Genomic DNA, 24,814 nt, shown 5'->3' with positions numbered 1-24,814 from the left:
GCAAAAGCCAAGTGAATCCCCATCCATTGCCGTAATCTTCCGTCAGACTCTGCAATCAATATAGCCATCCTGACATGGCTTGGCGGGTGGTGGGGGGAGGAGGGTACCCTGGCTGGCCTCCAGCCCTTCTTTCCCATTAACATGATGAGTTGCAGAGGGCATGTCAGGGATTGCTTTCAGTGAATTCTAGGAATGGAGATCCCTTTGCATAAAAATCCCCAAACAGGCAAAGAGAAACTCAACAGTGTTTTGCAAATCACCACATGAATGCCTCTTGGGGACAATGGCCTCTCCAGAGAGGACAGAATCACCATCTCAGCTCAGATCCGGCTTCTACTGATGCACTAGCCTAGGACTGGTGCTGGCATCTGAGAGGTAATGAAGAAACGCTCAGCTCAGGCATCACTTTATACCAGAGGCCATCAGATAAGCAATTATCATCTCCTCAGTAGACTGGGAGCTTCCTGGGAGAAGTGGGCTATCTCTTCCACAATGTTCCCATCTAGGTCCTTCTAGTCACCAGGCAGAAGCCCAGAGGAGGCTGTAAACACACTCCCATCTACTCCACCCTCCTCATTCAGCCACAAACATCCCTGCTTCAGGAGCAGAGGGTGGGGTGGAGGTGACACAAAGCAGGCAGAAACAAACCCTGAGTGTGACGGGTAGAATAATTTCTGAAGTTTACAAGGCACACCTGTGAGCCTCTCTGCGTAGACCAGTCTATCCTAGGAGAAAGATGGGCAGGAAAAGGGGAGCCCTGAGGAGCAGAAGAAGAGCTGACTCTGATGTTTCCTTTCTCCTTAACAGTGCTCTGTACTCCATCACAGGAGGTTCCCACAGGTCCCAGACCCACAGCCACTGCACCTGGAGCAACAGGACTCAGGAAGGAGCTGGGACCAGGGGCATTCGCAGGGGAAAGGGGCAGAGGTGGAATTTTCTGAATGCAGTTAAGACAAAAGGGAAGAAAAGACACACTCTCCTCTTCTCCTCTGCTGCACTGGAAACTCAAGCTTTATCAGAAATACCACACAGGACAGCAGTCCACAAGGAAAAGGACCCTCCTGCAGATGGTTTTCCTTTTTTTAGTGATCAGTGTAACTTGAAAGACATAACTTCTACCCCCCTTATTTCGGAAAGGGATGCAAACAAATGATCTATTTGTACTAAAACTAAACTCCCTCTGCGTGTAACTTCTTAAAGGTATTTATACATTGAATCTGACTCACACTTTTGATGTGGAAAAGTTTTATTAACATAACTACTTATCCCAGCCTACTCCCATTGGGATTCATGGCTCTTGCCCAAAAGACATTTCGGGTATTTCTATGTTACCTTAAATCCTGGCAGTGATTGGTGTTTCATAACAAGCACATTCACAGATTCCACGACAAACTCCTAGCTGTCTTTGGGTTACAATTAGGAAGTGAAATTGGAAGTGAGAAGCAGCCCTGTCTACACGAACAAAGAGCCCCAGACTGAGGGTCTGGAGATTCAGGACCCTATTCCACCACTGCCTGTGTGGTCCAGTCACTTGCCTCCTCAGGGTCCTTGTCTGTAGAATGACATTGCTGGCCTAGCACAGTCCTTAGTTGTCTTCCAGCTCTGACTTCCTGTGATTATAACAGAAGTTTAAAAATATCTCTAGAGAGATAAATCTCACAATATTATGTAGTCATGAAAAGACTGAACTAATGGCATCTAATATCTCTGGGTTCTGAAAGTCTGTGACTCTATTATATACAATGGTTTTTAAATGTGCAGAGATTAAGAAACATAAACACAAAACAGAAGAGTCTCTTTAAAAAGCTATTTTAAAAGAACAGACATTAAAGAGCCTAAAATAGCCATTCTGTGTACATATAGAGCAAATGGGTGAACAAAATCAAAATTATGCAACGTCTAGGGTGGCAAAGGCTTGTAGTGACTGGGACTCTTTCCTGATGAAAATAAGGCATGACAATTGGGACATTATGCCACAGTCCTAACTCCATGTCATTGTTTTATCTTTTGTCATTGGGCACAGGGAAAACACAGGACCCCAACACATGGATGGCATTATGCGAAAAAGATTAATTCTCTCTTGACAAGTGCACTGCTTTGTCCTGAGCTCAATGGCAGATCCTGGGGCAGCAGCGAAGCATCTCAAGATACTTAAGAACTTAGGACTTCGGCTAAGTTGGAGTCTTGCTGGTTAATAGGACATGGATTCACTCAAGTCAAAACACAGGTTCAAAGTGGGGCATAATACACAGCAGACAGATGAGATTCATTACAAAATACTCAGCTAACATGGCGGGGAACAGGAATGAGCAAGACTTGAGGTCAGGTGATCAAGCATTAATAAAGTTTGTCAGGCCCCAAGTTTAAGTAGAGACTATTAGAGGTAAACTAAGTATCCCAAGGACTGGGAATAGATGTTGAGTGCTAATATACAGAAGGTATTCAACTGCACTTGTTCACCAAATGGAAACTTACAAAAGAAGCTGTTGCTCCAATGAGGTTTGTTTGCTGAACAATGTTTCTCATTTATGGCAGCCAAGACTTTCGGGTCAGCCCCAGGAGAGAGAAGCAGAGGTGGAGGGAAACTCCCTGAACTTAAAGGTGCCTAGACCAGGTCCAAGTCCCCTAAGAGGAGGGATTCCACTTCATATACCACCCTGAATCTGGCTGATGGAAGGAAGCTGTATTCTCTGGATGAATGAGGGCTTGGCCAGAGAGTTGATGTTCTCCATAGTTTAAGCTGGATGGGGCCCTTGGATGGGTGTCCATCTATCTAAGGAGACCCTGTCTTATCAGCATCCCAGACCCAGATGAATCTTAGAAATCCTGAAAGATTTCAGGTTGCCAGAAGCGGCTGGACACAAACAAAAGGCCCTTCACAGAGTAATTAAAATAAGCAAGAAGGTAAAGGCTCTGTGTGTCTAATTCTGCACTCAGCTGAGGGAGATGTGATGGATGAACCCCAAGAAATGGGCATGAGCCAAGCCTGTTTCCAGAAAAGCCTTTCCCTTATTGTGAGAACTGGTATTAGACAAAGTAATAATCATTTTCAGTTGAATCTTGTGAAAAACTGAATTTAACCTGAAAGTAGGTATTGCATTTCTTTAAATTCCATTTCATATGGTTCCACTCCATATCCATCTTCTAATGGAGAGGATGGTTTCTTAACTGTCTTGTTTGTGAACTGTCTGTGTGTTCATACTATGATTCTATTAAAGTTATTTTACTTGGAGAAGGATATTTAAACCTAGTCTGTGGGGCAGTGGATCTGGAAATGTTCTAGACCTCTGATCCTGTCCTGGCCTTTCTTAGTCACCCCTGCCTGTGCCAAGAGATAAGCCACTTACTTAGTACAATCAAACTCAAGGTAGTATCAACTACTTGGTGGCACCTCTGATTTAAGACAAAGGTGACATTGTGATGCTGTGAGGAAAGAATGGTATTTTCAATAAATGTCTTCAAGTCTACTGATGACAAAACAGGAGAAAAAAAATCTCTTTTTTCTGGCTGGAACCATGGAGGGTGCAGAAGAGAAGAAGAAGAAGGTTCCTTTGGTGTTTTAGACATGAAGTCCTTGCCCATGCCTATGTCCTGAATGGTAATGGCCAGGTTTTCTTCTAGGGTTTTTATGGTTTTAGGTCCAAGGTTTAAGTCTTTAATCCATCTTGAATTAATTTTTGTATAAGGTGTAAGGAAGGGATCCAGTTTCAGCTTTCTACATATGGCTAGCCAGTTTTCCCAGCACCATTTATTAAATAGGGAATCCTTTCCCCATTGCTTGTTTTTCTCAAGTTTGTCAAAGGTCAGATAGTTGTATATATGTGGCGTTATTTCTGACGTCTGTTCTGTTCCATTGATCTATATCTCTGTTTTGGTACCAGTACCATGCTGTTTTGGTTACTGTAGCCTTGTAGTATAGTTTGAAGTCAGGTAGCATGATGCCTCCAGCTTTGTTCTTTTGGCTTAGGATTGACTTGGCGATGCGGGCTCTTTTTTGGTTCCATATGAACTTTAAAGTAGTTTTTTCCAATTCTGTGAAGAAAGTCATTGGTAGCTTGATGGGATGGCATTGAATCTATAAATTACCTTGGGCAGTATGGCCATTTTCACGATATTGATTCTTCCTACCCATGAGCATGGAATGTTCTTCCATTTGCTTGTATCCTCTTTTATTTCATTGAGCAGTGATTTGTAGTTCTCCTTGAAGAGGTCCTTCAAGTCCCTTGTAAGTTGGATTCCTAAGTATTTTATTCTCTTTGAAGCAATTGTGAATGGGAGTTCACTCATGATTTGGCTCTCTGTTTGTCTGTTATTCGTGTATAAGAATGCTTGTGATTTTTGTACATTGATTTTGTATCCTGAGACTTTGCTGAAGTTGCTTATCAGCTTAAGGAGATTTTGGGCTGAGACAATGGGGTTTTCTAGATATACAATCATGTCATCTGCAAACAGGGACAATTTGACTTCCTGTTTTTGTAATTGAATACCCTTTATTTCCTTCTCCTGCCTAATTGCCCTGGCCAGAACTTCCAACACTATGTTGAATAGAAGTGGTGAGAGAGGGCATCCCTGTCTTGTGCCAATTTTCAAAGGGAATGTCTAAAACACCAAAAGCAATGGCAACAAAAGCCAAAATTGACAAATGGGATCTAATTAAACTAAAGAGCTTCTGCACAGCAAAAGAAACTACCATCAGAGTGAACAGGCAACCTACAAAATGAAGAGAAAATTTTTGCAACCTACTCATCTGACAAAGGGCAAATATCCAGAATCTACAATGAACTCAAACAAGTTTACAAGAAAAAAACAAACAACCCCATCAAAAAGTGGGCAAAGGATATGAACAGACACTTCTCAAAAGAAGACATTTATGCAGCCAAAAGACACATGAAAAAATGCTCATCATCACTGGCCATCAGAGAAATGCAAATCAAAACCACAATGAGATAACATCTCACACCAGTTAGAATGGCAATCATTAAAAAGTCAGGAAACAACAGGTGCTGGAGAGGATGTGGAGAAATAGGAACACTTTTACACTGTTGGTGGGACTGTAAACTAGTTCAACCATTGTTGAAGTCAGTGTGGCGATTCCTCAGGGATCTAGAACTAGAAATACCATTTGACCCAGCCATCCCATTACTGGGTATATACCCAAAGGATTATAAATCATGCTGCTATAAAGACACATGCACACGTATGTTTATTGCGGCACTATTCACAATAGCAAAGACTTGGAACCAACCCAAATGTCCAACAATGACAGACTGGATTAAGAAAATGTGGCACATATACACCATGGAATACTATGCAGCCATAAAAAATGATGAGTTCATGTCCTTTGTAGGGACATGGATGAAATTGGAAATCATCATTCTCAGTAAACTATCGCAAGGACAAAAAACGAAACACCGCATGTTCTCACTCATAGATGGGAATTGAACAATGAGAACACATGGACACAGGAAGGGGAACATCACACTCTGGGGACTGTTGTGGGGTGGGGGGAGGGGGGAGGGATAGCATTAGGAGATATACCTAATGCTAAATGATGAGTTAATGGGTGCAGCACACCAGCATGGCACATGTGTACATATGTAACTAACCGGCACATTGTGCACATGTACCCTAAAACTTAAAGTATAATAATAATAAAAAAATAAAAATTAAAATTAAAAAATTTAAAAATTAAAAAAGAATTAAAAAAAATTAAAAAAAGAAGAAGGTTCCTGCTGTGCCAGAAACCTTTAAGAAAAAGTGAAGGAATTTCACAGAGCTGAAGATCAAGCACCTGAGAAAGAAGTTTGCACAAAGGTGCTTCAAAAGGCAAGGAGGAAGCTTATCTATGAAAAAGCAAAGCACAGCCAGGTGCAGTGGCTCACACTTGTAATCCCAGCACTTTGAGAGGCCGAGGCGGGTGGATCACGAGGTCAGGAGTTCAAGACAAGCTTGGCCAAGATGGTGAAACCCCGTCTCAATGAAAAACAAACAAACAAACAAACAAAAACTACAAAAATTAGCCAGCCACAGTAGCAGGAGCCTGTAATCCCAGCTACTCAGGATGCTGAGGCAGGAGAATCGCTTGAACCCGGGCAGCAGAGGTTGCAGTGAGCCTCGATTGCACCACTGCACTCCAGCCTGGGCAACAGAGAGAGGCTCTGTCTCAAAAAAAAAAAAAAAAAAGAAAGAAAGAAAGAAAGAAAAGAAAAGAAAAGAAAAGAAAAGAAAAAGAAAAAGAAAAAGAAAAGCACTGTAACAAGGAATATAGGCAGATGTACAGAACTGAAATTCGAATGGCCAGGATGGCAAGAAAAGCTGGCAACTTCTATGTACCTGCAGAACCCAAATTGGCATTTGTCATCAGGATCAGAGGTATCAATAGTGTGAGCCCAAAGGTCCGAAAGGTGTTGCAGCTTCTTCGCCTTCGTCAAATCTTCAATGGAACCTTTGTGAAGCTTAACAAGACTTCAATTAATATGCTGAGGACTGTAGAACCATATATTGCATAGGGGTACCCAAATCTGAAGTCAGTAAATGAACTAATCTACAAGCGTGGTTATGGCAAAATCAATAAGAAGCGAATTGCTTTGACAGATAACACTTTGATTGTTCGATCTCTTGCATCATCTGCAGGAAGGATCTGATTCATGAGATCTATAATGTTGGAAAACGCTTCAAAGAAGCAAATAACTTCCTGTGGCCCTTTAAATTATCTTCTCCATGAGACAGAATGAAGAAAAAGACCATCCATTTTGTAGAAGGTGGAGATGCTGGCAACAGGGAGGACCAGATCAACAGGCTTATTAGAATGAACTAAGGTGTCTACCATGATTATTTTTCTAAGCTGGTCAGTTAATAAACAGTACCTGCTCTCAAATTGAATACAAAATAGTAATAATAACCTCTCTTTCTCACCGTACACTAAAAGCATTTCCAAATGAATTACTGATCCAAATGTGAGAAGTAAAACAATAAAGCTTTCAGTAGGAAATATTTACAGTAGACAAAAATTTCTTAAACAGGACACAAAAAGTACTAAATATAAAAGAAAAAATAATAAACTGGACCACAATAAAGTTAATAACATATGTTCATTTCATGAAAATGCATCATAAGGAGTGTAAAGAGACAAGACACAGACTGGAAGAAAATATTCATAATACATATATTCCACAAAGGACTCATATTCAGAATGCATAAAGAACTCTTACAACTCAATAAGAAAAAGGCAGATAATTCAATAGCAAAGATGAGGCAAAAGACATGAAGATTCACCTTACAAAAGAGGATATCCAAATGGCGAATAAACATATGAAAATGTTCTAGACTTCATTAGCCATCAAGGAAATGCAAAAAACAAAAACATAACGCCCACAATGTGACACTACCACATACCTAGCAGAAAAGCCAAAATGGAAAAGACAAATAATACCAAATATTGGCAAAGGTATGAAACAATGGGAAGTGTTCTATCTGCTGGTGAAGATATAAATCATTATAACTGCTTTGGAAAACTTTTTGGCAGTGTTTATTAAAGCTAAACATACTCATACCCCATTCCTTGGTATTTCCCCTTAGGTATATACTCCACAAAACTGGGTGTATATATTCGTCAATAGATATGTACGAGAGTATCCATAGCGGCTTTATTCATAATAGCACCAAGCTGGAAACAACCCAAATACCTTGTACAGTAAGATGGATAAATTGTGGCATATTTATACAATATAGAAATAAATTGCTATACACAACATGGATTAATCTCACATACATAACATTGAACAAAAGAGGACAGACACAAAACAGTGTGTATTTTAGGATTCTACATATACCAAGTTTCAAAACAGGCAAACTAATCTATGATGCTGGGAGTTGCCACAGAGATTACCCTTGAGAGGAGGAGCTAGTCAACAGAAAGGGACCCTGCAGGGGCTAATGTTCTAGGGTGCTCATAATGTTATTGATCTGTGTGCTGATTACTCAAGTGTGTTCACTGGGTAAAAATCCGTGGAGCTGTACACTTAGAATTTGTGCACTCTTCTGTACACTTGCTATACTTCAGTGAAAAGTTTATAACATGAAAATATAAACACAAACTACATTTAAGGAATAAAGTCCATGTAGGAAAATAAAAAATCCATGAAAACTGCTTTGCAAACTCAAATCTATAAATGACAGCAAAATGGATAGCTTCTAATTATCCCGATTATTCTCTTCAAAATGAGAATTTGTTGTGGGGTGGGGAGGAGGGATAGCATTAGGAGATATACCTAATGTAAATGACGAGTTAATGGGTGCAGCACACCAGCATGGCACATGTATACATATGTAACAAACCTGCACGTTGTGCACATGTACCCTAGAACTTAAAGTATAATAATAATTTAAAAAACTTGAACATTCCTTAAGAAAAAAAAAGAAAATTTGCTTTTTAATTTATTTAGTATCTATGTCCCACTTTCAAAAATAATTTGAAGCCATGGTCTTATTTGTTGAACAAATACACATAAGGGGCTTTTTAGTTTTCATTGGAAGCTTTTAGGGCATCAAAGTTGTTCAATTTTGTTTGGTTTACTTTTACTTTTTTCCCCATGTTAATATACAGGTTTATAAAAATACAATTTTTCTTGGCTAACACCCTCTAATGAAGATTAACAACCCTAATATTTACATAACCAGCAAGCAAATTAAGCTGAGCAAGACACAGTCCACCCAATCAGGATCTTTGGAAGGCTTCAGCCAGTGGCTGTAGTTCAGGTCTAACAGCTTGGCATTCATTGGAAAGGGAAGATTGGGAGCAATTATTTCAATAAGCCAAGCCAAGAAACACAGCTATGCTATTCAGGGAAAAGAGGAGGCCACAGAGACCAAGTCTACTTCTAGCAAAACGGAACCCGGCTGGCTAGTAAAAGCTGATGTTTCCCTACTCTGCCGTGTGTATTGGCTTTCACCTCTTCTGGAGGAAAGCTTTTGCAGAGGACAGATGGTTCTCTTACATTTGTATAATGCCTTATTATTTTCAGAGTTTCCTAGATACCAATAGCATCTGAATCTCATACTCACCTTACAATGAAAATAGAGAAGGTTAGTATTATCCCCTTTTCATTGGTGAAAGAACTGAGACTCAGACAACTAAGAGACTCTTTAAAACGACATGGCTGGCAAGTTCCATAGCATGGATAGAACATATTTGTCATGTGCTCTGTCCTTTGTACCATGGGGTCTCTTGGCTTCTCTCCAAGCCACTTAAGAGAATGAGATCCCACTTCCAAAACTTGGAAAAAAATTAAGCTAGGATTATTAGACACTGGGCAGCAGGCAAGCTGGAAGCTGTGCCACAGTCAAAGGAAAGGACAGCATTCACCTTCAAGATCATGCATTGTGGAGGCACTGGGGGGTACAGGGAGATAGGTAGGTGCCAAGACTCCTACTTGTAGCAATGGTTTCAATGCCTGAGTCTGACTCTACTACAAAAGGTCATCAGCAATGGTAGACTCATCTGGGCAGACTTTGCTACAGACAGGGAACTGACACCTGTGGTTATGAGACATACAAGTTCTGAAATCCATTCATGAACATAGTCAGTTTGGATTCTGCTAGGGTTGCATGCCGCCAATAGTAAACAGCATAAAGAGCACTGGCTTTGGAGTCTGCCAGACCTGGCTTTCAGTCCCAGCTCTATTTTTCACTCAATGTGTGCCCCAGAACACTTATCTGCTCTGAGTTTCAGTTTTTTTAGTCATAAAATAATAATGATAAAATATACCCATCAGAATTATTGTGAAAATTAACATAATAATAATATAAAGTTATTGGCATATAGTAGGCAGTAAATACATTTTTGTTCCTTTCTCTTCTCCCCAACTAAAAAATGATGGATTTTCTGTGAGCTTTTAAAACACATGAAAGGAATAGTTTCTATCTTCCTTGCTAGCCAGAATGAAATAAAAACATAAATCATTTAAATTCATACCTTCCAGGTAATCATATATGAATATATAATAACCTTCTCAGGTGGCCTAATTTAAGAACCTTTACCTATTTTTTTTTTCCTTTTTCACCTGAAAGTAATCTGATTAACTCAGCGCATGCTTCATTTCCTGGAATAGAAATTGCAATAATCTTCTCCTTAATTTCAATAATTGATTAACATGACAAAAACATGTCACCTATAGTCAGACTCTAGCACCCACAATATTCTCTAGAACTGATGTTTTGATGTTGCCAAATGCTGCCTGAAAGAAAAGCATCTGATTTCCAGGTTAACTCTAGATGTTCCCCTGGGCAAATTCCACAGGTTACACAGAAACACTAAGAGAAGGGGTTTCATACCTGGCTGCCTATGATCTTCCTTTTAAAAAGCAAATACAGTGTTTTCAAAATCTACAGGTGATCTTCCATGAGAAAGTTTTGCTGTTTCCTCAAACTCCATGAAGATTCCTCTCATAAACTGGTGCCCCTTCCCAGTTATCCTATTTCTGTCCATAAGCACATGTTCTTAGAATCTCAGAAACAAGAAACTGAAAGAGATTTCCATTAAAGCCATCTGATCTAGTACTAAAAACAAAAAATGCATTAATCATCCCACTGAACCCCTGATGGCCTGCTACTGACTAAACACAACCAGTAGAGGGGAGCCGACTACATCCCTGCTGCATTGTTCCCATTGTTGGTCAAGTCCTTCTATACATCTGGGTGGGATGTTTCTTGTTCCATCCTTCCCACTTTCATTAATCCCAGCTCTGCATTCTAGAGCAATAGGGGACAGACAAATCTCACCCTTCTTCCTCACTAAAGGCCCCACAACACGGAAGGCACCCATTATGTGTGTACACAGGTTTTACGCTCTGAATCAAACATTCAATCCAAAAAACATCTGAGGATCAACTGTGTGCCTCACACTGTTTTAGGTGCTAAGACAGGACATGTAAATAACATACAGCATCTATATGCAAAAAGCTCACAACAGTCCCTTAGAATTTCTGGATATGACCTGGCTTCTAGACCAACCACCCTCTCCCTCTTCCAGATACACTTTGGCCTAGTGATGCTTCTTTTAAAATGTGATTCTCAGAATATGGGAGAAAAACTGGATGGATGAGTCTGTGGATTATTTCCTAGTCTGATATTGTACTACAGTTGTGCAAGATGTTAACAGTGGGGGATGCTGGATGAAGGGCACACAGGACTTCCATGTATGTTTCTTTGCAACTTCCTATGAAGGTATAATTATTTCAAAATAATTTTTTTCTAATGGATGGAGATGCCACTAACACAAGCTACTGACAGGACAATTCAAAACCTAATAAAAGGCCCAAACTAGGATAGGTCCACCTACTCAAATACTTCTTGAAATAACACGGAGGCAAACAGACAGCAAGAACTGTCAGATAAAAGTCCACACTCTGTCTCTCCCTAGGAGGCAGAGTATCTTCCATAAGCACTTGCTTATAGAAGATGCTCCATGATCTGAATCTGCAGGGCCTTCTCCTCATTCGTATTCTGGAATGTCTGGATGGGCAGAGCCTATTGCCTGTGCTCCCTCTCACCTGGAGGGGCTGCATGGGGTGGGGAGTTATAAACCATTAGGCTTTGGAGTCCAACACACCTGGCTTTAAAATGTAGGCCCACCACTCACTAGCTGTGATAACCTGGGGACCTTACTTGCTCTTTTCAAGCCTCGCAAAACAAAGATGGTGATGAGCGCTATTATCTCACATAGTTTTGTAAAAGGAGACAATAAAATAATTTATATAAAGCACATGGTATAGTTCCAGCATCCACAAATAACTCAATAAATATTTGTTGTTTTAGAGCCTCACTCATGGATAAGTTCTAGGTTTCCAGGATTTACTAACCCCCACCTCTTTTTTTTTCTTTTCTTTTTTTTTTTTTTTTTTTTGAGACAGAGTCGCTCTATTGCCCAGGCTGGAGTGCAGAGGTGCAATCTCAGCTCACTGCAACCTCTGCCTCCCAGGCGCAAGCGATTCTCCTGCCTCAGCCTCCTGAGTAGCTAGGATTACAGGCATGCACCACCATACTGGCTAATTTTTGTATTTTTAGTAGAGATGGGGTTTCACCATGTTGACCAGACTGGTCTCAAACTCCTGGCCTCAAGTGATCTGCCTGCCTCGGCCTCCCAAAGTGCTGGGATTACAGGCGTGAGACACTGAGCCTGGCCCTTACTCCCTTTTTAACATCCGATAGAACATCTGCCCTTTCCCCACCTTCTAGTACCTCTCTAGCCTGCCAGGATGTCTCAAATTTCCAGTCCAGTGCTTCTCCTCGAGCCATTTGCAGTGAAGGCTCAGTTTGATTTTTTTTTCTGCTTTTATTCTAATCTGTTATAGACTAGTACTTTAGTAAACTATAATGAAAATGAATTACCAGCAAAGTACAATTTTAAAAACAAAAGTTCCAATTTTTTAATTTTTAGATTCAACAGACATAAAATTACTCTGGCAAATTGCTATAAAGTTTCTAAATGCTTCCTTTCTATTTCTGTGCTCCTCATTACTGACTGACAACAAATGGTTGGCAGAGCAGTTCCATGGACCACACTTTAGGGAGCACTTCTCCATTACCTCCCTTCTCCAAGCCTGTAGGAACCTTACTTTCAGTGAAACACAACTGAGGGCTTAAGATCTCTGTGTTTTGGATATTGGTTTTAATTGCCAAGGAGGATTGTATGCTCTCTGAGTGCCAGGGTCATGCCCACTGTGCTCAGAACCAGATGCCTCATGAGGGCCCAATTCCTGCTGATAATCTAAGCACTCAAACAGGCATATTATTTACTTTTACCTTTCCATGATTTCACCTTGATGGTGCACCCTTGAAAACCTGCCTAAAGAGAACACTTTGTCCCTTCAACATCCCTCCCTGTTTGCCTGCATTCCATCTATTTCTGTGTGTGTCTTTTTTACCACCTGCTTCATCTCCATTTAACTGAAACGTACCAGATATAGTCACAGTTTCTTCCACAGAGGGAGAAGACAGGACAAATCTCAGAAAATCCCATTCATCAGAAAAGCTGGCTTCTGGCTCACCAGATAAACATTTAAGGAAATGGAGTGGTTACATTAATTTACTTCCTGGGGATACTGTTAGCCTCATCTCTGTGTCTCTCTAATGCTGGGCACATACTAGCTGCTCAGTAGACGTTTATGTGAAGTGGGCACAGAGTAGCAGCTGCTGCAGTGACTGCAAGTCACACCTTTGGTCATGTCACTCAGAAGAAGAGGGGCAGTGAGTGGCACTGCCACAGGAAGAAGCCTCAGATGTCACTGAGACCAGTGGCTGTCTACCCTGACAGAACAATGAAATCACTCAGGGAACTCTGATACAATACTCACTCCTACATCTCAGACCCAGAGACTTTTTAATGTCATTGATCTGGGGTGAAGCTTGGGCATCAGCGTTTTTCAGGTTCCATAGGCAATTCCAACGTGTGGCTAGGGTGAAAACTCACTGATTTAGAACACTCTCCCATCCACACAGGTACGTAGCAGAGTTCCTTAAATGTTTGTTGAGTAGATGAATGAGGGAGTCACTGGATCAGTAGATCGATAAAGGGAGGAGGATAGGTCTGGAGCAAATGCGAACATGGCCTTAACCCTGTCTCCTCAGATCCCTCACCTCCAGCTGCTGGGCATCTTTTCCCAAGGTCCAGCCTTAAGCTCTAGCCAGGAAGCATCCTCTTGCCCATAAGAGAAGGGCTTGCTCCTCCCCTCAAACACTGGTCCCTAGGAAAGCACTGACTTAGTCCACCCTCACCTTTTTCAAGCAGGAAACTCCTGGGCTTTCTTGAACACACACCCAGAAGGCTCCACAAATACCACTGGCCTCAACTTCTACAGAGTAAGAACACTCTATCTCATCTATTTCATGTTTATTTAATGGCTGCTTGGATTGTTTTCCTGGAAGCCTTCAGTCCAGGGTGCCATCTCAAACTACAGACTTCCAGACGACAGAGGCCCAAGAACACTGTAAAAAGTGACTCGTTTATGAAAGTCTAGTAAATGGATGCTGCTGTGGTAATGCTGCAGAGAGACAAGAGGGAAGGGGAGGATGAGAAATGGCAACCAGAAGGAGGAAGAGGAGGAGGATGAGGAAGAGGAAGAGGATGAGGAAGAGGAGGAGGATGAGGAAGAGGAGGAGGATGAGGAAGAGGAGGAGAAGGAAGACGAGGAAGAGGAGGAGGATGAGGAATAGGAGGAGGAGGATGATGAGGAAGAGGAGGAGGACGAGGAAGAGGAGAAGGAGGACAATGAGGAAGAGGAGGAGGACGAGGATGATGGTGACAATGACAAGGAAGTGGTGTGCATACCTGGAAGGGGAGATGCTAGCTGCCCACTGTGGGCAGGCACAGATGCACAGATGACACAGAAGATCAGGCAGTACCCACTACCCCTTCCTAAGGAGCAGGGAAAAATTTAGCTAAGCTCAGACTTCTCTGCTGGGAATGCGTGCCTGGGGCTGCCCCAGGTTCTGATCTCTGGCTGCTCTTTAGTTGCTGATGCTGCTATTTTTAGCTGAACAGTGGCCCCTTCCCAGCCTCCTCTCCAACCTCTAGTTCCAGGATCTCAGAGGAGCAGCTGGACTTGTCATTCTCCCTCTGGATCCTGGACTTCCTACTCCATGAAGCTACAACTGAGTCAATTTGGGATGCTATTTGGGAATGTTTGGAAGGAGATGAACATAGGGTAGCTAGGGAGTCAGTTGTGAAATCCAACACTTATTTTTCAGGCCAGAAAAAGAAAAAAGGTACATATGTTAGGTCCAAGGAGAACACTCCCTCTGGCCCCAAAAGAGACACTCCTTAGATCCCCCCCTTACTGCCCATCTAATAGCTTCCAATTGTTCAGATTATCCTGTTCTAAAATGAAAACTGGCTTTTTTAAAATTTATTTATTTAGGATATATGCCCCACTTTCAAACAGAATTTGACGCCAGTCTTATTTATTGAACAAATATACATTAGAGCCTTTTTAGTCTTTATTGGAAGCTTTTAGGACACCAAAATTGTTAAATTTCACTTGGTTTACCTTTGTTTGTCCTGCCTGTCTATGTATAGATGGCATTCCATCACTAGCATTAATAGGTATTTTCTGGTATGTTTCTCTCTCTCCATTTAAAGGGGAAAAAGAAACACACACTATTTGGGCACCCTTGTTTCCTAGCACTCTGTGAGGCTCTATTAGTAGTTTTCTTCATGCAATTCTTACAACCCATGAACTAAGTTAAGGGACCCACCCAGGGCCACACAGCTCGCAAGTTGCAGAGCTGGGATTCAAATCCAGGACTTTGTGACTTCAAAGCTCACAGACGTCCATCTTCCCCAGAAAACAAGCCTCATACTCCTGTCATCAAAAAGAGCAATCTGTTCCCAACCCTAAAGCCCCATTAGACTGGTACTTCCCATTGGGCTCAATAAACCATGTGGATTGCCTGAACCACCAGTTTCCAGAAAATAGAGAGGGAAACACATCCACCATCCACATGACAGTGAGATATGAAGAAATATGTGCCTTTTCTTGCTAGATCAGCTTTTTTGGTGGCTGCGGAAAGAAAGGAGGGGAGGCACCCAGCCAAGAGAGGTGAATTATGGATAATCCCAGAGTCTGCAATAACATTTCCCCTTCCCAGAAGCACCTCTTAACTGCAAGAATTCCAATAAAATGATTCATTCATTAATCATCCAATAGATTTTCACTGAACACCTACTATGTGCCTAGTACTAGAAACTGTATTAGGTGCTGAGGGTAGAAAAGTGAAAAAAAAAAGCCATCACAGTTTCTGTCCTTATAAAGCTAGTAGCTATAGGGAAACAATGCTGGGGTTCAGAGGCATTTGTGGGGTGATAGCATCCCCTGACACACTACCTTAAATTTAGCACTGAGGCACTTTTGTGGGAGGAGGAGGAGAAGGAGGAGTAAAGGAAACCAAACTCGTTGCTATGCAACAGTGATGATTTATTCTTAGAGCAGGGAGAGCAGCGGCATGGTGCAGGGAGTGGGTGGGGGGTGGAGATGGAAAGAGGGGAGGCTGGAGGAGTACAGAGTGGGAGGAAAAGTGGTATAAGCAAGCATCGAGGCTACACACACAGGCCTCTCCCCACGGAGCCGCTCACAAATGGACACTCCACAGAATCATTCTCTCCAGAGCTAGGCAGAATACTGTAGGGACAGCCCCAGGAACCACTGAAAAACCCTGGTTCTTAGGTCTGAAATTAACCTTCAGGTACTGTAACCAGGCCTGCAATGAATACCAAAAAGGGACAAAAGCTGAACATAACAATCTTTACTCCCACCAGGGAAGTAGGACTCACACACATAGTTGACCAACAAGTATTTATTAAGCACCTTCTCCATGTTCATTCAACATTGTGCAGGATGCTGTGGGGATAGAGACAGCCCTCAAGCTGAAGGAGCCCATGTGTTGGCTGGGTACAGAGACAGACACCTGCCTGAAACGCAGGACTGAGTGCTGGACCTGGCTCAGCCACTTACCTGCTTGGGGAAGCCTGTGGCAAGTCGCTCCACATCTCTGGACCTCAGGCATCCGCTCTCTAAGTTGAGAGACATAAACAAAGCTTAGCCCTATGTCTCTGACACTGTACATGCCACAGGATCTCAGTAAGAGCAGAGGTGAGTATCACCTGGGGTACTTGGGAAGGGCTGCATGGAGAAGGAGGAATTGAGAATGGAGGGGAGAGGGAGATAAATGTTTCCTGAGGGCCTATTATGTATTTTTACCTAATGATAAAGAATAGTTTCCCCATTTTCAGAGTTGAAAAGGCCAAAGCCTCAGAGAGTGACTTGCTCAAAACCACACAGCAGAGCTGGGATTCAAACCCAGATCCTCCCAGCCCCAAAGCCTGAGCACTTCCCACTGGCCCACACTGCTTCTCTGAGATGCTGAGATTTAATAGGAAAAAGGGGTGCAAGGAACACTGGTTGAGGCAACACAGGCAGAGATACTGACAGGCTGAAAAATAGCCAGGATTAACAAGGGCAGATTCCTGGGGCAAAGACAGGCTGTGACTGAAAGGAAGGTGAGAACGCAGAAAGAATGAGAACCAGGCAGTCACTAACCAACACCCTTCATTGTGCCAAGTGCTATGGAAAAGACAATTTGCAACCAAGGAGATAAAATGTGAAAATTAACAATTAGTGAAAACCTACAAAAAGTGCCAAATGAGATGTACAAAAATAAATCATAGTACAGTTTAAATGGGGATTCTGTGGAAGAAGGAGTTTGGATCTGAGCCTTAAAGGATTCAGGGGGAGGACAGGTGAGGAGAGGATGAGAGAGGTAAGGGCATTTGGAAAAGGAAAAATCTCACCCACATGAGAAAAAGCAGAAAATATGCTCCAAGGAAGATCACTTTGCTTAGAAGACAGAGCTGGTGGGAAACAGTATAAAAAAGTGGGGTTGGGCGAGGCTAGGGAGTTGTGGCTGACAGAGTGAGGATTCTAATCTTCGACCAGGGCTATGAAAACCATCAGCTGTTCCAGTGAGGAAAGACATGGTGAAAAGAGGAGTTGAAGTAAAAGAAACCTGCAGGGTTCAGAAAGCCAGGGAAGGAGCTATTAGGCATGGGATGAAGAGAGTCTGAATTAGGGATGGCATTGGAGGTGGCCAGGAAGGACCGGTTCCCTGGGTATTTCAAGGACAAACAGACAAGTCCTGGTGACTGGGGGGCTGAAGAAGGCGGAATCAAAGTTAACCCAAGCTTCAAGGCAAGAACATGATGGTATCACATTCAGAACTAGAGAAGCCCAACAAAAAATTTGCGGAGAAGGTGGTAATGAGGTAGATTATTTCCATTCTATGCATTTTTAAGATTCTTCTAAGATATCCAAATGAAATAATCATGAATCATAAACTCAAGAAAAGGAAACCTGAGGCTGGGGAAGGGGAGGTGAAGTCACCCATGACCCAGGGTGAGACCAGCCCTCCCCTACTCCCTGTGCCCCCCCCGGGAGGGCAAGGCTGCTGCTTTGGGAGTTGGAAACTGTATGCTCTGGTGAAAGAAGTCACAGGGAGAATGGGAATGGACTCTCAGGGCCAACACTTAATTATTCCCATCAGTAGAGCAAGTGAAGCTTTCAAACAGGGTGAAGCCACTTCCCTGTCCAGGCAAGAATTCCTTCTGTGCTCTAGTGAGGGGTCATCTAGCCTTTGCCATGGGCAGGGAATCACAGGAGACCTCACCCAGCATCTTGCTATAGAGACAGGGGATAAGATTTTGGATTCAGAGAGACCTGGGTAAGAATCTCACTTGTTCCATCTGGGGCACCTTGAACTGAATTCCATCCTCAAGATAAGGTCTGACAGAGACAGAGAAGAGCTCTATAAATGCAGCTCATGGCCCCTAAAATATCACTTCTATTCGCTTGTCAGTGGCAGTTGAAATTCTACCATTAGAGATTTATTTCTCTAGCTTAATATGTTTCTTTTAAACTACACATTCTCCTGTGAGGCATAACTTAGTGAGTTGTTACCAGCCGTAAGTACAAGAGTATGTATTCATTTATCAGATGCCTGGGGGAGCCAGGGTTTTAATGCTTTGGAGAGGAGGAGAGGGGCATTCTGGAGGTGGAATCATTGGCCATATTTGGGTAGGCTACTGAAGTTAGTCAACGATTGACCGGACTGGCAAAGGGACCTAGAAAGCAAGTTTCACAGCTTCACTGGGGATCAGTCCTAATCATCAGATAAAAGAAGTCACAAGAGAGATAACTCTGCTGGTGGAACTACCATATGACAATATGGGCCCTTTAGGGTACAATATGAAAGATAGGGGGCAGGACCTCTCCAGAGAGCACGGCAAAGCGCAACAGAAAAGCCACTTCTATCTCCCGTGAAGGCAGAGTTAGAGAGATCAAGGTGTACCAGGAGAAAGGAGGTCTGAAACCAGGAAGCCCTTTCAGATGATACAAAATCCCCCCTTGTTGCTCACCTAAGCTTTCATTCTGCACCAACCCAGTCCTGAAACTGTTATTTCAAAGATGACCATGATCTCCTCACATCCAATCCCCCACAGTTCTATCTCACTCTCCAATCCTTGAGTGTAGTGCCCTCTCCTTCCTTGCAACCCTTGACAAGGGAACCCCCAGGTGCTCTGGTTTTTCTACCATGTATCTGACCACTCTTGCATTCCCTCTCACTGTGCCCTAAGGCTCTGCCTCTCTCCTCTCTGTACAAACCCTCCTTGTCCCTAACAAGAGAGGGACTGCTGCCCAGCAGTTCTCAGCAAAGCAGAAAGTAGTGGTTTAGAAGAGTCTATACTGTGCAGGGCCTAGTACATAGCTAGTACACAATAAACTGCAGGAGGAATAAAGAAATGAATGCATTAAAACACTAATCCAAGTGTGACTCAAGAGGATCATGCCATAGGAAGCCACAAAAGATGTAGTATTTTGTTCTGTTTCTGTGGAAGCTTCACTTACTTAACATATACACCCAAACTTTGACACATGAGCACCCACCCATTCAGCATGTTTTCTCTGGAGAACAACTTAAAGAGAGTGTTGTCAACATCAGAATCCCTTTGCCTCCTCATTACTCTGGTCTTTTGCATCCAAGGAGATATGGTTCTCACAAAGGACCATGTAACCAAGAGAAAAAAGAAAGGATCTGGGCCCTATAGATGGAACCTGAGAGGAGAGCTCTTCTCTACCACAAAAGGACTTTTATCCCTGGGCTAGCTTCCCCAGCCTCCTGCTGCAAGTCCTCCCATATGCTCCCCGGTCCCCACTCTTGCACCATTTATCTTTGCAGTGAGCTTTTTCTGTGGCCTCACATCTGTATTATATGCGCCATGATACATACATATGTAAACAATATCAGAGAACACCATCTCAACTTTTGGGCTCCCTCACACTAATAGCCTTCCTTTTCCCCCCAGCAGAAGTGTCATGGAGATGAATACCATGGTCTCCTCCAACAAGCTGGGAGCTCTCTGAGGACCAAAGCCATAGTTAGGAGTTACCCCCTCTGTACTCACCATGTCCCTTCAGTGGTCCAGGGGAATACTCTGCCATACAGGCCCCCTAGTTCATGCTGATGACTGATCTATGAAGACCAAAAGGCCCGGGAATTCCACAGAAAGGAGGAGGAGAATACATAAGGAAAGGTGGAGGGAGAGAATATGGGAGAAGGGAAGAACTTCAGTGAATCCTCTGGCCTCAGTGGCTTTCTTGTATCCTGCCTCAGTCACTCTTTTCATCTTTGACCCTGGCATTGATCATTGAGATTTGCTCTTTGATCTGCTTGTCTGTCTCTGCCCATTGAGTGTGAAGCATTGCTATTTGTCAGATATTCTGAGCACCAGAACCCATGCAAGAAAGTTGTCAAGGCAACAGAACCTCTTTGGTATAAATACTGGTGGGTGATACCACTGGTGGAGTAGAGCACAGAGAGCCTCCCCTCCCCCTCTTTTAGTCAGAGCTAACTGACTTCAAAGTTGGGGGAGTGGAAAAGAGTAGGTCTCTCCAAAGACATGCTAAATTGATGTCTAATGGTGATCCAGCAGGGAGAGAGGATTTTGCAGTTCTGATTAGCTGCTCAACTCCCACTGAGCCCAGAGGTGGCAGTGAGGGGCAAAGAGAAAGCTGCAGGAGGGTGGTGGAAGTGGCACAAATTGTGGGAGATGCCTGAAACCACAGTGCTAGGATGTGGCACCCAGGACAGGCTCTGTGAACCTTGAGATACCAGCCTGCTGGGGGCCACTGGGGATCCCTGGGAATGTCCAGGGCCTTAAGCTCCGACTAGGGCTGTTCTGACCTCCCTTGTTCTCTATACTTCCTCCCAGATCCACAAAAACACATACTTTACAGAAGATTCTTAGGGTCAAGCATCCATATCCCAATGCTGTTCAGAGAAAACTGTGCCCTTCACCCCTGCCCTCAGAGGACACTATTACATTCAGATGGCCATTTCAGCCATCTCCCTGCATCCGACCCACACCCAGAGCACCATTTTTAGCCTTTTCCCTTCTCTAGACCTCAGTAGTCCCATTTCTAAAAGGAGAGAGAGCTTTCCTCCTCTTCCTCCAGCCTCCAGTATTTCTGGAAAGGGTAAAAATAACATAAAATTTGCGTGTAAGGACTCCTTGGAGAAACTCTTTTAAGAAGTAGTCAGTTCCAGCAGCCCTGCTAGTCAGGAGGCTTGCATCCTCAAGTTAGTCCCAGCCCTCACACTTGGAGAGAGAGAGGGAACAGCAAACAAGGACAAGGTGGCATTCATTCATTTCCCCTTTTCAACCACATCCTTACATCCTCTGCACAAATGCTCCATTGCTCCCATAATGAGCTGTCCCTCATTAGAGCCCCACCCTACACCTTTGCTCACCCCATTGACACAGCACATCTCACACTCACTCATCCTGCCAGGACCAGCAGGCTCACAGCCTTCCCAGCCACACAGCCAACTGGACTCTTCTCCCCACTCTTATGGACTTGCCACCTGCAACAATCACTTAACACTTACCTCACTCTGCTTTTTCTCATTAACCAGTTTTTGGCAGCCCTACAGCATCTAGAACAGTGTTGTACACGTAAGTAAATATTTGTTTTGAGGTTTCATTTTTTAAATGCATTGTTCAGCAAAACCGGCGACTCCAGTGTCCAGGTAACAAGCACGTCCCTCCAGAATGAGAATCCAGACTCCCCATGTCCTCTGCTATATTCATCAGCATAGCCTCTTCCTCCTCTCCCAAACACACCATTCCTGCTGTGGCCTCAAACATTCTTTCCAGGTGCCCAAACTCTCACAGCTGCTCTGCCCCATCAACCCTGTTCCCTAATCATCCGGGTCTGCTCAGGGCCTCGCTCCCCACCTCTGGCATCACTCCGCCCTGTTTCCATCACTAGTGCCTCCATAATTTCCTGTAGTGCGAAAACAAGAAGTAACTTTAAAGAGCAGTGTCACCAGCTTTGTAACAAACACTCTGGTACATGCACATCCATGACCATCTTTTCCCAGGTCACACTCTGCACTAGGAATCTGTGTCCTGGATTAGGATTCTAGGATCTTCTGGCTGCCTCAAACCTCTACCCAAAATTTCTGGGCCTTTAACAGCCACTAGGTTTCCTGGCAAGAAACTGGTTATTGTTTCTCCCTGTGAGGAGACCCTAAAGGCCAACAAACTCTACTCTCCTCCCAGAGGTTAAGTAGACAGGCAGGCCCACCTCACTCTACCACCCAGGCTCCCCTAGAGCCAGCCTATTTGCTACCTGGTAGGCCAGTATTCAAATCCTGATTCCAATCAATGGGGGGGGGACCTTGGCAATTTGGTAAAATTCAGTCAGCATGTAATGAACAAGTGCCTCCTCTCGTTCTAAAGGATCAGGGGCTCTCATAGCAAGGTCCCCAGACCAGCAGCATCAGCATCACCTGGGAACTTGTGAGAAGTATAAATTCTTGGGCCCACTGTAGACCTGCTGAATCAGAAACGCTGAAGGTAGGGCAAACAACTTGTGTTTTAACAAGTCCTCCAGATTATTCTGATGTGTGCTCAAGTTTGAGTTCCACTGACTTAGGCCCTGGGGATATAAAAAAAAAAATGAAAAACCCATAATCTAAACTATCAGTTCTTAGCCCTGGCTGCAATTAAAATAAGCTGGGGAGCTTTTAAAATAATACCAGTCTGGGCCCCATCCCAGACCAATTTCATTAGAATTTCTAGGTGTGGGGAAGTCATCACAATGCAATATACTGAGTGCAAAGACTGTAACAGGGTATGCAGGCAAGTGAGAAGGGATCCTGCAGTAAGGAGATGAGGACAAGCAGCTGCACCATCTGTGCCTCCATTTTCTCATCTGTAGAATGGGGAATGTAACAGTCCCTTGAAGGACTATTGAGAATTACATAAAATGATATAAGGAAATGCCCAGTATATAGCAGATGCCCAGTGTTCATCACTTCCCTTCTTTCTCCAGAATGGGCCCCTGGTTGACTCTGAGTTGAGCAGCTGGGCTGCTGTGTTTAGAATGTCCCCTACACTGGTCCCTCATCAAGGACCCTTCCCCACCAAGAAAGAAAACTTCATGACTGTTCATAGTTTGGGGCAAGAGTTCTCTTCAGCAGCCATCTCCATAATCCCAGCATCTTGATTCGCTGTCCTTAAAAACAGGCTGGGTCCCTTGGAACCAGACTTTCCCTATAAGACAGCTCACAGTGCAGACCCCAGACCTCTAACACCCCCACACCCTTTCAAAGAACACCTATTTTTTAAATTTTATTTTCCATAAGTTATCGGGGTACAGGTGGTATTTGGTTACATGTGTAAGTTCTTTAGTGGTGATTTGTGAGATCCTGGTGCACCCATCACCCAAGCAGTACACCCTGCACCATATCTATAATCTTTTATCCCTTGCCCCCCTCCCACTCTTCCCCACAAGCCTCCAAAGTCCACTGTATCATTCTTATGCCTTTGTGTCCTCATAGCTTAGCTCCCACATATCAGTGAGAACACACGATGCTTGGTTTTCCACTCCTGAGTTACTTCACTTAGAATAATAGTCTCCAATCTCATCCAGGTCATTGCAAATGCTGTTAATTCATTCCTTTTTAGGGCTGAGTAGTATTCCATCATATGTATATACCACATTTTCTTTATCCACTCATTGATTGATGGGCATTTGGGTTGGTTCCACAATTTTGCAATTGTGAACTGTGCTGCTATAACCATGCGTGTGCAAGTATCTTTTTCAAGTAATGACTTCTTTTCCTCTGGGTAGATACCCAGTAGTGGCATTGCTGGATCAAATGGTGGTTCCACTTTTAGTTCCTTAAGGAATCTCCACACTATTTTCCACAGTGGCTGTACTAGTTTACATTCACACCAGCAGTGTAGAAGTGTTCCCTGATCACCGCATCCACGCCAATGTCTACTGTTTTTTTGTTTTCTTATTATGGCCATTCTTGCAGGAGTAAGGTGGTATTGCACTATGGTTTTGATTTGCATTTCCCTGATCATTAGTGATGTTGAGCATTTTTTCATATGTTTGTCGGCCATTTGTGTATCTTCTTTTGAGAATCGTCTATTCATGTCCTTAACCCACTTTTTGATGTAATTGTTTGTTTTTTTCTTACTGATTTGTCTGAGTCCGTTGTAGATTCTGGATATTAGTCCTTTGTCAAATGTATAAATTGTGAAGATTTTCTCCCACTCAGTGGGTTGTCTGTTTACTCTGCTGACTGTTCCTTTTGCCATGCAAAAGCTCTTTAGTTTAATTAGGTCCCAGATATTTATCTTTGTTTTTATTGCATTTGCTTTTGGGTTTTCGGCTATGAAATCCTTGCCTAAGCCAATGTCTAGAAGGGTTTTTCAAATGCTGTCTTCTAGAATTTTTATAGTTTCAGGTCTTAAGTCTTTAATCCACCTTGAGTTGATTTTTGTATAAGGTGAGAGATGAGGATCCAGTTTCATTCTTCTACATGTGGGTAGTCAATTATACCAGCACCATTTGTTGAAAAGGGTGTCCTTTCCCTACTTTATGTTTTTGTTTGCTTTGTCAAAGATCAGTTGGTTGTAAGTATTTGGGTTTATTTCTGGGTTCTCTATTCTGTTCCATTGGTCTATGTGCCTATTTTTATGCCAGTATCACGCTGTTTTGGTGACTATAGCCTTATAGTATAGTTTGAAATCAGGTAGTGTGATACCTCCAGATTTAATCTTTTTGCTTAGTCTTGCTTTGGCTCCATGGGCTCTCTTTTTGGTTCCAAATGAATTTTAGAATTGATTTTTCTAACTGTGTGAGGAACGATGGTGGTATTTTGATGGGGATTGCATTGAATTTGTAGC

General features: G+C 43.0%; 1 protein-coding gene and 1 pseudogene across 33 annotated transcripts in view, besides 1 other annotated feature; one reads left to right on the top strand and one right to left on the bottom strand.

Annotated features, from left to right (window-relative positions):
- The window catches only part of KALRN (kalirin RhoGEF kinase), a 692,957-nt gene that overhangs the window by 567,549 nt on the left and 100,594 nt on the right, over positions 1–24,814 (bottom strand). The window lies entirely within an intron of this gene.
- Positions 80–725: an enhancer, noted in NCBI's record as "OCT4-NANOG-H3K27ac-H3K4me1 hESC enhancer chr3:123876899-123877544 (GRCh37/hg19 assembly coordinates)". NCBI's record gives its function as "activates a minimal SCP1, AML or CMV promoter by ChIP-STARR-seq in naive and primed H9 embryonic stem cells {active_cell/tissue: H9 hESC(naive and primed)}" and the evidence as "EXISTENCE:reporter gene assay evidence [ECO:0000049][PMID:30033119]".
- On the top strand, positions 6,215–6,896 carry RPL7P15 (ribosomal protein L7 pseudogene 15; annotated as a pseudogene).

This window comes from Homo sapiens, chromosome 3 (assembly GCF_000001405.40).
Source record: "Homo sapiens chromosome 3, GRCh38.p14 Primary Assembly".
Taxonomy (NCBI): domain Eukaryota; kingdom Metazoa; phylum Chordata; class Mammalia; order Primates; family Hominidae; genus Homo; species Homo sapiens.
Note: the sequence above shows the minus strand (reverse complement) of the source record. Positions and strands in the feature narration are given on the sequence as shown.